The 13,915-nt window shown below is 42.8% G+C and overlaps 2 annotated features.

The window, feature by feature from the left end:
* Positions 351-1,122: an enhancer, noted in NCBI's record as "H3K27ac-H3K4me1 hESC enhancer chr2:90484749-90485520 (GRCh37/hg19 assembly coordinates)". NCBI's record gives its function as "activates a minimal SCP1, AML or CMV promoter by ChIP-STARR-seq in primed H9 embryonic stem cells {active_cell/tissue: H9 hESC(primed)}" and the evidence as "EXISTENCE:reporter gene assay evidence [ECO:0000049][PMID:30033119]".
* Positions 1,123-1,892: an enhancer, noted in NCBI's record as "H3K27ac-H3K4me1 hESC enhancer chr2:90485521-90486290 (GRCh37/hg19 assembly coordinates)". NCBI's record gives its function as "activates a minimal SCP1, AML or CMV promoter by ChIP-STARR-seq in primed H9 embryonic stem cells {active_cell/tissue: H9 hESC(primed)}" and the evidence as "EXISTENCE:reporter gene assay evidence [ECO:0000049][PMID:30033119]".

Here is a 13,915-nt window from a genome sequence, read left to right as displayed (position 1 = left end):
GCTGACTGGCTTGGCTGGGTTGGCCAGCTTCGCTGGCTGGCTTGGGTCTCTTGGCTGCCTGGGCTGGCTGTCTGGCTGGGCTGTCTGGCTGGTTGGCTGGCTTGGCTGGCATGCCTTTCTTGGCTGGCTAGAGGTCTTGGCTGGCTTGGCTGGCTTGGCTGTCTGGCTGGCTTAGCTGGCTTGACTGGGTGGCTTGGCCATCTTGGCTGGCTGAGTGGCTTGGCCGGTTTGGCTGGCTGGCTGGCTTGGCTGGCTGAGTGGCTTGGCCAGCTTGGCTGGCTGGGTGGCTTGGCCGGCTTGGCTGGCTGGCTGGCTTGACTGGCTTGGCTGGCTGGGTTGTTTGCCTGGCTTGGCTGGCTGGGTGGCTTGGCAGGCTTGGCTGGCTGGCTGGCTGGCTGGCTTCGCTGGCTGGGTGTCTTGGCTAGCTTGGCTGGCTGGGTGTCTTGGCTGGCTTGGGTTGCTGGGTCTCTTGGCAGGCTTGGCTGGCTGGGTGGCTTGGCTTGCTTGGCTGGCTGGGTGTCTTCGCTGGCTTGGCTGCCTGGCTGGCTTAGCTGGCTTGACTGGGTGGCTTGGCCATCTTGGCTGGCTGGGTGGCTTGGCTGGCTTGGCTAGCCGGCTGGCTTAGTTGGCTGGATGGCTTGGCTGGCATGCCTGGCTTGGCTGGCTGGCTGGCTTGGCTGGCTTGGCTGCCTGGCTGGCTTGGCTGACATGCCTGGCTTTGCTTGCTGGCTGGCTTGGCTGGCTTGGCTGCCTGGCTGGCTTGGCTGCCTGGCTGGCTTGGCTAGCATGCCTGTCTTGGCTGGTTGGCGGGCTTGGCTGGCTTGGCTGGCTTGGCTGGCTGGGTGGCTTGGCTGGCTGGGTGGCTTGGCTGGTTTGGCTGGCTGGCTGGCGTCGCTGACTGGATGGCTTGGCTGGCATGCCTGGCTTGGCTGGCTGGCTGGCTGGCTTGGCTGGCTTGGCTGGCTTGGCTGCCTGGCTGGCTTGGCTGGCTTGGCTCACTGGCTGGGTGGCTGGCCTGGTTAGCTGGGCGGCTTGGCTGGCTTGGCTGGCTGGGCGGCTTGGCTGGGCGGCTTGGCTGGCTTGGCTGGCTTGGCTGACTGGCTTGGCTGGTTTGGCCAGCTTTGCTGGCTGGCTTGGGTCTCTTGGCTGGCTTTGCTGGGTGGCTGGCCGGCTTGGCTGGCTGGCTGGTTTGGCTGGCTGACTGGCTGGGCTGGCTGGGCTCACTGTCTGGCTTGGCCGGCTCGGCTGGCTGGCTGGCTGGCTGGGCTGGCTTGGCTGGCTGGCTGGCTTGGCTGGCTTGGCTGGCTAACTGGCTGGCTTGGCTGGCTTGGCTTGGCTCGCTTGGCCTGCTGGCTTGGCTGCCTTGTCTGGCTGGCTGGCTTGGCTTGCTTGGCTGCCTGGCCGGCTTGGCTGGCTTGGCTGCCTTGGCTGGCTTGGCTGGCTGGCTGGCTTGGCTGGCTTGGCTGGCTGGCTGGCTTGGCTGGCTTGGCTGTTTGGGTTGGCTGGCTGGCTGGGGCTCCTGGGCTGGCTGGCTGGCTTGGCTGGCTGGCTTGCTTGGCTGGCTTGGCTGGCTGGCAGGCTTGGCTTGCTTGGCTGGCTTGCTGGCTTGGCTGGCTTGGCTGTTTGGATTGGCTGGCTGGCTGGGGCTCCTGGGCTGGCTGGCTGGCTTGGCTGGCTGGCTTGCTTGGCTGGCTTGGCTGGCTGGCAGGCTTGGCTGGCTTGGCTGGCTGGCTGGCTTGGCTGGTTTGGCTGGCTTGGCTGGCTGGCTAGCTGGCTCACTTGGCTGGCTTGGCTGGGTGGGTGGCTTAGCTGGCTTGGCTGACTGGCTTGGCTGGCTTGGACATTAAATATAATAATATATTTGGTACATTAAATATAAATTGTATACGTTAAATATAAACATCTTTTATACATCAAACATAAACATTTTATACATTAAATGTAAACATATCTTATATGTTAAATATAAACTTCTTTTATACATTAAATATAAGAATACATTTGGTACATTTAATGTATACAGTACATTAAATATAGACATTTTAGACATTAAATATAAGCATATATTCAGCACATTAAATGTAAACATATTTTATACATTAAATATAAATACTGTGTATGTTAAATATAAATATGTATTTTCTATATTAAATGTAAATATGTATCCTGTACATTAAATATAAACATATTTTCTATATTAAATATAAACATGTATTTTGCATAGTAAATATAACTATACATTTTCTATATTAAATATCAACATGTATTATGTATATTAAACAAAGACATATATTTCCCATATTAAATATAAACATATATTTTTATATGTTAAATATAAATATATATTTCCTGTATTAAATATACACATATATATTAAATATAAATATATTTTTCTATATGAAATGTAAACATGTTTTAAACATTAAATATAAATATTCATCTTAGATATGGCCCGTGTTCGAATGTGTAGTAGATTGAGTATATAATGTCTACTCAATATAAAATTTATATTTATATATGCAGTAATGATTCAAGTTGATTGTAGTTAAGAAAAACAAGCTCCAAATTCGAAAGAAATATGTAAGAAGAGAGACAGGAAGAAAAAATAATGAGGCAGGTAAATGCAACAGACAATTCGAGACCCACAAGTGCAGAGCAGGCTTCCCAGACCCAGGTAATGTCTCCTGGGCTGATAGGAAGCCCTCAACCCCCCAAGTCCTTCTCAGCCATAAACCACCTGAGCACAGAGCCACAGGGACCGTGTTGGGGCTGGGCCTCCCGACTTCAGTTCCTCTCATTCTGTGCAAAAGGAAAAACAATTCAGAATCTACAGAGGTTTAGATGTGTGCAGATGTGGACAGAGAAGTCCGGGCACAGTGGTTTACTGCCCAAGAAGACAGTGAGTCCCCGGAGGAATAGAAGAATATACATCATGCTAATATATGTCATCCCAGTACTTTGGGAGGCCGAGGCGGGTGGATCACTTGAGGTCAAGAGTTCGAGACCAGCCTGGCCAACATGGTGAAACCCCGTCTCTACTAAAAATACAGAAATTAGTTGGCCGCGGGGGTGGATGACTGTGATCCCAGATACTCGGGAGACAGAGGCGGGATGAACTGCTTGAACCTGGGAGGAGGAGGTTGCAGTGAGCTGAGATCATGCCATTGCACTCCAGCCTGGGGAAAAGAGCAAGATCCAGTCTCAAAGAAAAAAGAAAAAAAGAAAGAAGTTGTGAGTGCTAAGTTCTCTCTGGATTTTCAGGAGGCCAGTTCTCCAGTCCACGGTGGCCTGGGAGGACAGGGGTTCCTGAGGGTGAACAGAGCCTGTGCCCGGTCAGGTAGGATCATATGTCCCTGAAGTTCAGAACCCAGGAGCATGGGGATGGTCCTGGGGGTTCCTGCTGCACGGAGGGAAGACCCTCTTTCCACAGGGGCCCCGGAGAGCGAGAGGAAGGAGGAGGGCAGGTCAGTGAGTGTGATGGGGTCACAGTGGAGAGGGAAGCAGAAAGAAGTGTTCCCACAGCAAGACACACACACTGTCCATGCTGAAGCTACAGAGAGGACCTCTCCACCTGTGTCTGCCGCAAAGCAGTGGGGCGTCTTCTGGCAGCCCAGAGTCACCTCCAGATCCCACCTGCACCATGCTTCCTGCGGAGACTGCCTGTCTTCCTAATACACTGTCTTCTGACCAGTCTTCCAGACAAATCACCGGTTGCTATATATATATATTTTTTAATAGCTAATATCTTACACTGATATATTTATATTATATATAAATAATTTTGTGCTTTATGTTTATGCTATATATACAGATGTAGTTAGCTATTTATGTTATATATAATATAAACATGATGTATATTCTTATATTTCTCTGGGGACTCACTGTCTTCTTAATACACTGTCTTCTGACCAAATTCTTCCAGACAAATCAGCTGTTGCTATATATATATATATGCTATATAATTTATTGCATAGAATATATTATATATTATATAGCATAGAATATATTATATATTATATAGCATAGAATATATTATATATTATATATTAATTATATAATATATGTTACATATTACATATTATATATAATATATTATATTATGTTATATCTTATATATTATATATGTTATATATGTATATATATTATATGTACACATATACACATACATACACACATGTATATTTTAATAGCTAATATCTTACACTGGTATATTTATATTACATACGATTATATACAAATATTTTTGTACTTTATGTTTATGCTGTATATACAGATGTAATTAGTTGTTTATGTTATATATAATATAAACATGATGTATATTCTTATTTTCCTGTGAGGACCCACTGTCTTCTTAATACACTGTCTTCTGACCAAAGTCTTCCACACAAATCAGCAGTTACTATATATATATATAATATTTATATACACATATACACATACATACACACATATGTATATTTTAATAGCTAATATCTTACACTGATATATTTATATTACATATAGTAATATACTAATATTTTTGTACTTTATGTTTATACTATATATACAGATGTTGTTAGGTATTTATGTTATATATAATATATTAACATGATGCACATTCTTGTATTCTCCTGGGGACTCACTGTCTTCTTAATACACTGTCTTCTGACTAGAATATTCCAGACAAATCACCGGTTGCTCTCTCTCTCTCTCTCTCTCTATATATATATATATTTTAATAGCTAATATCTTACACTGATATATTTATATTACATATAGTTATATACAAATATTTTTGTACTTTTGTTTATACTATATACACAGATGTAGTTAGCTATTTATGTTATATATAATATATCAACATGATGTATATTCTTATATTCCTCTGGGGACTCACAGTCTTCTTAATACACTGTCTTCTGACCAAACTCTTCCAGACAAATCAGCTGTTGCAGTATATATATATATTTATTTTTTAATAGCTAGTATCTTACACTGTGGCTCATGCCTGTAATCCCAGCACTTTGGGAGGCCGAGGCGGGTGGATCACCTGAGGTCAGGAGTTTGAGACCATCCTGGCTAACACAGTGAAACCCCATCTCTACTAAAAATACAAAAATTGATTGGGTGTGGTGGTGCATGCCTGTAATCCCAGCTACTCGGGAGGCTGAGGCAGGAGAATCGCTTGAACCCAGGAGGCAGAGGTTGCAGTGAGCCGAGATCGTGTTGCTGCACTCCAGCCTGGGCAACAGAGCGAGACTCCATCTCACACACACAAAACATCTTACACTGATGTATTTATATTACGTGTAGCTGTATATAAATATTTTTGTACTTATATTCTGTGTACTTATATTCTATATATTATAAAACATTATATAAAATTATACATGTATAATAAAATGTTACATAAAAATTTTAACATAATACCATTTTATTACATATATTTCTAAATTTAATATAATGAAATTTTATATATAATAATGTATAACATCTCTAAATTTATTATAATACAATGATATGTAATTATTTTCTCATAATTATACATAAGGTAATTTATTATAAATAAGATTTTATATAATCTACATTTATTATAATAAAATTTTATTACATATAACACATTTCTAAATTTAATACAATAAAATACTATGTATAATTTATAACGTTTCAAAATTTATTATATTTTTATTATACAATTATTTTATACATAATTATACATAGTATATAATTGTACTTAGAAATATAATTATGCATATACAATATGTAATTTTATTTTTACACAGTATATATGTATAATTATGTATTAACAAATATAATATCAATTTTATATACTTATTTACATTAAGTTATATATTATAGAAATGATGTTATATGTTATATATGTTACATATATTTTTGCTTAATATATTAAATTTAATCTATAAAATTATGTATTAGAAATAAAAGTATTTGCTTAATATATTAAATTTAATCTATAAAATTATGTATTAGAAATAAAAGTATTTTACATATACACTACATATAACTTTATTTATATAAAAATATAAAAGTCATATGGTTAAGTTACTAAAATAATTTATATCAATCTATTCATATAAAATATACACAATGCGTATTTCTATAAATACAAAGTATATAAAACTTTTACCAGTAGGATGCAAAGAGTTGCTGACCGTCTGCAGAAATCCTGAACCTCTGGAAGCAGAATAAAATCTTACCTCCCAGTCTGCTTTGAAAGGAACAGTAAAGCAGTCCCGAACCCCAAACCCACCCTAAGGGGAGATGGGGGAGTTGGGATGGACGCGTTGACCAGTGAGGACTTTCCTTTGCTGGTTTTGAGGTGTCTTAGCCCAGAAGCTAAGATGGGAAGTGATTCTGGAGCAGGTGAGCTGATCACAAGCCTGAGCCAAGAATCCATGGAGCTCATAAATAGCAGAAGCCGGGACCCTGTGCAAATCCTTCTGAAATATTCTCCATTTACTGGGCTCCTAGGGGTGGGGAAGAAAAATTCCCTGACATTTCGGCCTCAGGGAAAGAGAGAGACACCCCACTGGCCGGAAGCCTCTGCTATTTTTCAGAAGACAGCTGGGGCATCACCCTTTCCCAAATGACGGTGATTTTCAGAGTGGTTCACTTTTTGGAGAGACATTTCTGCCCTGGAGATCCATACATATTGAACCCAAATGAATATTTTTTAATTAAAAAAAATTAAACTTTAGAAAGTTCAATATTGAGGCAGCTACGAGTTTGAATTCCTCATTTTTCCTAAATGCATGTTGTCAAAATCTGTATTGCATTTAGTAACTACTTATGTTTCTAATGTATATAAGGTTACACAATGTTTTCTTCTTTTTCTGCTCCTCAGGGTCAGAATTTGAAATAAAAGTTTTGGAAAGAAAAAACACTCTTGTCTGTTTGTGCAAAAATAAAAGAACCCATATTTTAAGAATATTTTAAAATAAATACAAATTTTGTGTGGGGGGTTGCTTATAAGAATTCTTCATATCCTAAATCAAAGATAGATCTTGTTATTAACCAGAAGACAAAATGTGTGTGTATAAATGTACAACACTCTTACACTCACACAAACACTGGCACACATGCACACACACACATTCACGCACTCACTGAAGTACTCACACAAACACAGGCATTCATGTATAAATACACACATAAGCGTGTATTTATAGAAATATTATGCACATACAATATATAATTTTATTTTTACATAGTATATATACATAATTATGTATTAACAAATATAAGATCAATTTTATTATATACTTATTTACATAAAGATATATTATATAAATGATGTTATATGGCATGTATATATCACATATAACTTTGCTTAGTATATAAAATTTAATCTATAAAATTATGTATCACAAATAAAAGTATATTTTACATATACACTATATATAACTATTTATATGAACTATAAAAATCATGTTTATATTAATAAAATATATTTATATCAATATATTAATATAAAGTATGCACAATGTATATTTATATAAAAATTTTTAATTAAAAAATATTCATTTGGGTTCAATATGTATGGATCGCCAGGGCAGAAACGTCTCTTCAAAAGGTGAACCGTTCTTAAAATCACCGTCATTTGGGAAAGAGTGATACCCCACCTGTTTTCTGAGAAACAGCAGAGGTGTACGGCCAGCGGGGTGTCTCTCTCTTTCCCTGAGGCCGAAAAGTCAGGGAATTTTTCTTCCCCACCCCTAGGAGCTCTGTAAACCGGGGATATTTCAGAAGGATTTGCACAGGGTCCCGGCTTCTGTTGTAAAAGAGCTCCATGGATTCTCGGCTCAGACTTGTGATCAGCTCACCTGCTCCAGAATCACTGACACAAATGCAACCACACACTTACACAAACACACATCAACACAAAGACAGACAGAATCACAAAACACACTCATAGAAACACATGGACACACGAAGACATGCACACTCACACAAATGCAGGGACACACACACAAACACAATTACAAAAATGTGTGGGTTTTTTGCACACGTGGGTGCACATGCACATTGACATTCTCACAAAGCACACAAACACGTATACATACAAAGTCACTCATAAACAGAATCATGAAAACACTCTCATATAAACACGTGGATGGCTACTCACCCACACAGACACTCACATATGTCATACACACTCATAGACACACTCAGAATCACACAAGCACACACAAACACACAAATACAGTCACACACTCATGGAAACACAGTCACAAAAAGACTCACATAATCATGTAGACACACAAACATAAAAGTTCACACACTGGGGCCGGGCAAGGTGGCTCACGCCTGTACTCCCAGAACTTTGGGAGGCCGAGGCGGGCAGATAACTTGAGGTCGGGAGTTCCAGACCAGCCTGGCCAACATGGTGAAACCCCATCTCTACTCAAAAATACAAAAATTAGCCAGATGTGGTGGCTTATGCCTGTAATCCCAGCTACTCAGGAGGCTGAGGCAGGAGAATCATTTGAACCCGGGAGGCAGAGGTTGCAGTGAGCCAAGATCACGCCACTGCACTCCAGCCTGGGTGACAGAACGAGACTCCGTATCAAAAAAGAAAAATTAGCCAGATGTGGCGGTGGGTGCCTGTAATCCCAGGTACTCAGGAGGCTGAGGCAGAAGAATCGTTTGAACCCGGGAGGCGGAGGTTGCTGTGAGCTGAGATTGTGCCTTTGCACTCCAGTATGGGTGACAGAGCGAGACTCCGTCTCAAAAAAAAAAAAAAAAAAATTTATACATTGCCATACAGATTCACACACATACACTCATATTCACAAACACACAAATACGATAAACGCAGGGGCACACAAAAACACCATCACAAAAACACACTTCCATAAAACACAGGAATGCACGCTCACACAGAAACACGCATGGAAACACACGTTGTCTTACAGACTCACAGACACACTCATCATCACATAAACAGGCACACACACACAGCCACACAAGCACACACCCACACCCACATCAACACACACACTCCCACACGGCACACACGCGCTCACGCACACAGGTAGAACAGGCCTGCATTACCTGATAACGCAGTGAAATCAGACGTGATGCTGCCTGCTGAGGAGACCTGGAGGCTTCCCATGAATGGGCTTTCAGAAGAGAGGTCTCTGGGTGCATTTGGTGACACCCCAGGCAGTGGGGGAGACGTCCAGGCTGGAAGGCCAGCCACAGCCAGCTCTGCCCAAGGATGCCACATCCATTTGCTTCAGTAGGATATGTACCCTGGAAACCCAGCTTCCTGCCTCTCCAGGAAACCCCACTGAGGTCAGCACATCCCCCCAGGTTTAGAAGGGGTCTCTGGGTGCATCTGGTGACACCCCAGGCGGGGGGGGGGAGACATCCAGGCTGGAAGGCCAGCCACAGCCAGCTCTGCCCACGGATGCCACGTCCATTTGCTTCAGTAGGATCTGCACCCTGTAAACCCTGGTTCCTGCCTCTCCAGGACACCCCACTGAGGTCAGCACCCCCCACCCCCCACCCCCAGGTTTGTGCAGCTTCACTATCTGGGGAGAGACACAGAAAGACCACATTCGGTGGAATTCTGGCTATAACCTTTTGTGGCCGGCAAGAAGGATCACCAAGCTGTCCTGTTACCTTGCTGGAGCGATCACTGGTTTCACGCTTGGCCCCCGTGCAGTGAGTGCCTGGGCCAGGCTCGATTCTTGGAGCTCCAGTGAAATTTGGGCTTGGAGCTCACGCCTGCACCATCCAGAAAGCAGAAGGCACCTGGCCCGGGCTGTACAGTTCGTAGAATCAGAGAGAACACTGCTTGCCTTCATGTCTGTACCACAATAAATCTGCCAACTGTGGTCAAAGTCTCTGGATTCCTGCCCCCTCATTTTATTTTGTCTATTATGGAGTGGAAGGAGTGAGAAAGATTTTGCTTCCTATTTTGTTTTGCAAGGCGTTTCTAAGAAAAACAACCCGTGTTCTGCAAACGACATTCTGAGTGTCCCCTGGGCGTGAGGAAAACAAACTTTGGGAATCCAAGGACCTGAGAGGCAGAGTGAATGTCATTCACATTTCCCTGCGAATGACAAAGTCACTTTTTATTTATTATTATTATTATTATTAATTATTATTATTATAGATTCAGGGGATCCACGGGCAGCTTTGTGTCCTGGGGATATTGTACGATGCTGAGGTTTGGGGTATGAATAATCCCGTCACCCAGGCGCTGAGCATTGTACATTCCTGAGGTATATAATGTGTACTAAAAATAAAATGTATATTTATATATGCACTAATGATTCAACTTGATTCCTTGTAATTAAGAAAAACAAACCCCAAATTCGAGAGGAGTTCTAGAAATATATAAGAAGAGGGCCAGGTGCAGTGGCTCATGCCTGTAATCCCAGCACTTTGGGAGGCCAAGGCAGGCAGATCACCTGAGGTCAGGAGTTCGAGACCAGCCTGGCCAACATGGTGAAACCCCGTCTCTGCTAAAAATACAAAAATTAGCCAGGTGTGGTGGCAGGTGCCTGTAGTCCCAGCTACTTGGGAGGCTGAGGTAGAAGAATTGCTTGAATCCAGGAGGCAGAAGTTGCAGGGAGCCGAGATTGCACCACTGCACTCCAGCCTGGGTCACAGAGTGAGACTCCATCTCAAAAAAAAAGAAAAAAAAAAGAGAGAGAGAGAGATAGAAAACAAACAAGCAAGAAAATGCAACAGAAAAATCCGTGACCCAAAGATCTCTCCAGTTGCTGCCTTCTGCCTGAAATTCAAAGAATCTCAGGGTAGTTTTTCAACCCTTGTACCCCCGCCCCTGCTTCCTACTCTATTAGTCCTGAGGGTCTGTGGTGCCCCTTCATTGTGTCCAGGTGCAGGCAATGTTTAGCTCCCACCTATAAGCAAAAACATGTGGTATTTTATTTTCTGTTCCTGGCGTTAATTCACTAAGCATAGTGCCCTTCAGCTTCATCCATGTGACTGCAAAGGGCATGATTTTATTCTTGTTCATGGCTGTGTAGTATTCCATGATGCGGAAGGACCACATTTACTTTATCTAATTGAGAACATGTGGTATTTGATTTTCTGTTTCTGGCATTAATTCACTAAGCATAATGCCCTTCAGCTTCATCCACGTTGCTGCAAAGGGCATGATTTTATTCTTGTTCATGGCTGTGTAGTATTCCATGATGCAGAAGGACCACATTTGCTTTATCTAGTGCAGAACATGTGGTATTTGATTTTCTGTTCCTCATATTGATTCACTAAGCATAATGCCCTCTGGCTGCATCCATGTGGCTGCAAAGACATGATTTTATTTTTTTCATCACTGTGTAGTATTCCGTGGTGTAGAAGGGCCACATTTGCTTTATCCAGTTGAGAACATGTAGTATTTCATTTTCTGTTCCTGGCATTAATTCACTAAGCATAATGTCCTTCAGCTGTGTCCATGTGGCTGCAAAGGACATGACATTATTCTTTTTCGTGGCTGTGTAGTATTCCATGGTGTAGAAGGGCCACAATTGCTTTATCCAGACAAGAACATGTGGTATTTGATTTTCTGTTCTTGTGTTAATTCATTAAGCATAATGTCCTCCAGCTACATCCATGTGGCCGCAAAGGACATGATTTTATTCTTTTTCATGGCTGTGTAGTATTCGATGCTGTAGAAGAACCACTTTTGCTTTATCCGGTACCCCACTGATGGGCAACTAGGTTGATTCCATGACTTTCCTATTGTAAGTCGTGCTGTGATGAACCTTACAGGGCCAGGCACTGTAATCCCAGCACTCTGGAGGGCCAAGGTGGGCAGATCACCTGAGGTCAGGAGTTCGAGACCAGCCTGGTCAATATGGTGAAACCCTGTCTCTACTAAAAATACAAAAATTAGCCAGGCATGGTGGCGCATGCCTGTAATCCCAGCTGCTCAAGAGGCTGAGGCAGGAGAATCACTTGAACCCTGGAGGCAGAGGTTGCAGTGAGCCGAGATTGCTACTGCACTCCAGCATGGGAAATAGAGTGAGACTCCATCTCAAAAAACAAACAAAAAAAAGGAACTTTACCATGCATGTGTCTTTTTGGTAGAATGACTTCTTTTCCTTTGGGTAGATGCCCAGTCTTGGAATTGCTGGTGCAAATGGTGGAGCAGTTTGGATTCAGGAGGTACATGTACAGGTTTCTTACATGGGTACGATGTGTGATGCTGAGGTCTGGGGTATGAGTGATCCCATCACCCAGGTAGTGAGCATAATACCCCACAGTTGGTTTTTTCAACTCTTGTCCTTCTACCTTCCTCTCTCCCCCTAACTAGACCCCAATATCTGTTCCCTTCTCTGTGTCTACATATACACAACATTTAGCTCCCACTTATAAGTGAGAACACGCAGCATTCTATTAATTTACTTAAGATAATGGCCTCCACACTGTTCACAATAGCAAAGATGTGGAACCAACCCAAATGCTCATCAGTGATAGACTGGATAAAGAAAATGTAGCACATAGACACTGTGGAATACTATGCAGCCATGAAAAAGATGAGTTCATGTCCTTTGCAGGGACATGGATGAAGCTGGAAACCCTCATGTTCAGCAAAGTGACACAGGAGCAGAAAACCAAACAGTGCATGTTCTCACTCATAAGTGGGAAGTGAACAATGAGAACACATCAACCCAGAGAGGGGAACATCACACACTGGGGCCTACTGCAGGGGTGGGGGACTGGGAAAGGGACAGCATTATGAGAAATATCTAATGTAGATGATGGGTTGATGGGTGCAGCAAACCGCTATGGCACATGTATATCTATGTAACAATCCTGCACATTCTGCACATATACCCCAGAACTTAAAGTAGAATAGAAAAAAAATAATAAAAATAATTAAAAAAGATAATGGCCTCCAGCTACATCCATGTTGCTGCAAAAAAAAAAAAAAAAAAGAAAAAGAAAAAAAAAAAAAAAAACAACCGTGATTTTGTTCCTTTTCAGGGTTGCGTAGTAGTCCATGGTGTAGATGTACCGCGTTTTCTTTGAGGGTGGGAGGAGGGAGAAGATCAGCAAAAATAACCTGTGGCTGGGTATGGCAGCTCACACCTGTATTCTCAGCAGTTTGGGAGGCTGAGGTGGGTGGATCGCCTGAGGTCAGGAGTTTGAGATCAGCCTGGCCAACATGGCAAAACCCTATCTCTACTAAAAGTACAAAAATTAGCCGGGCATGGTGGTGCATGCCTGTAATCCTGGCTCCTCTGTAGGTTGAGGCAGGAGAATCTCTTGAACCCAGGAGGCAGACATTGCAGTGAGCTGAGATCGTGCCACTGCCCTCCAGCCTGGACCACAGAGTGGGACTCCATCTCAAAAAATAATCATAAAAATAATAATAACAACCTGCTAGGCTTAGGACCTAGGTTGATTCCATTACAAAAAACAAAACAAAAGAAAACAAAAAACTAACTTTTTAAAAGAAGGATCTCTCTGTTCAAAAACAAAACCAATGCCCTGTCAGGAAAGATGTTCTGTGTTTCTGGTAAAGCTGGAAGGAACCTACAGGAAGGAGTCACCCCATAAAACTAGTGGAGCAGCATTGCCTTTTGGGGTGAGGGCTGCTTCTGTTAGGCCACCAGGATGAGTGCCTTCCTGGGGAGTGTGGTTCATCCTATACCATCCAGGAAGCAATTCCTGCCCCCAAATCACCTGCCAGCTTCTGCCCTGTAAGTAAAATCCCCAGCAAGCGGGCAGCAAGGAGCTGCTTGCCTTGGAAGGCAGCTGAAGTCTCTGCCCACCACCCAGACTGTGTCCTCTGGGCAAGGCCAGGGCTTCCAGTTGGATGGTTTTCACATTAACGGCTGCTGTTTAGAATCATCAACATTGGCCAGGCGGGGTGGCTCATGCCTGTCATCTCAGCACTTTGGGAAGCCGAGGCGGGTGGATCACAAGGTCA

Source organism: Homo sapiens, chromosome 2, assembly GCF_000001405.40.
Source record: "Homo sapiens chromosome 2, GRCh38.p14 Primary Assembly".
Taxonomy (NCBI): Eukaryota; Metazoa; Chordata; class Mammalia; order Primates; family Hominidae; genus Homo; species Homo sapiens.
Note: the sequence above shows the minus strand (reverse complement) of the source record. Positions and strands in the feature narration are given on the sequence as shown.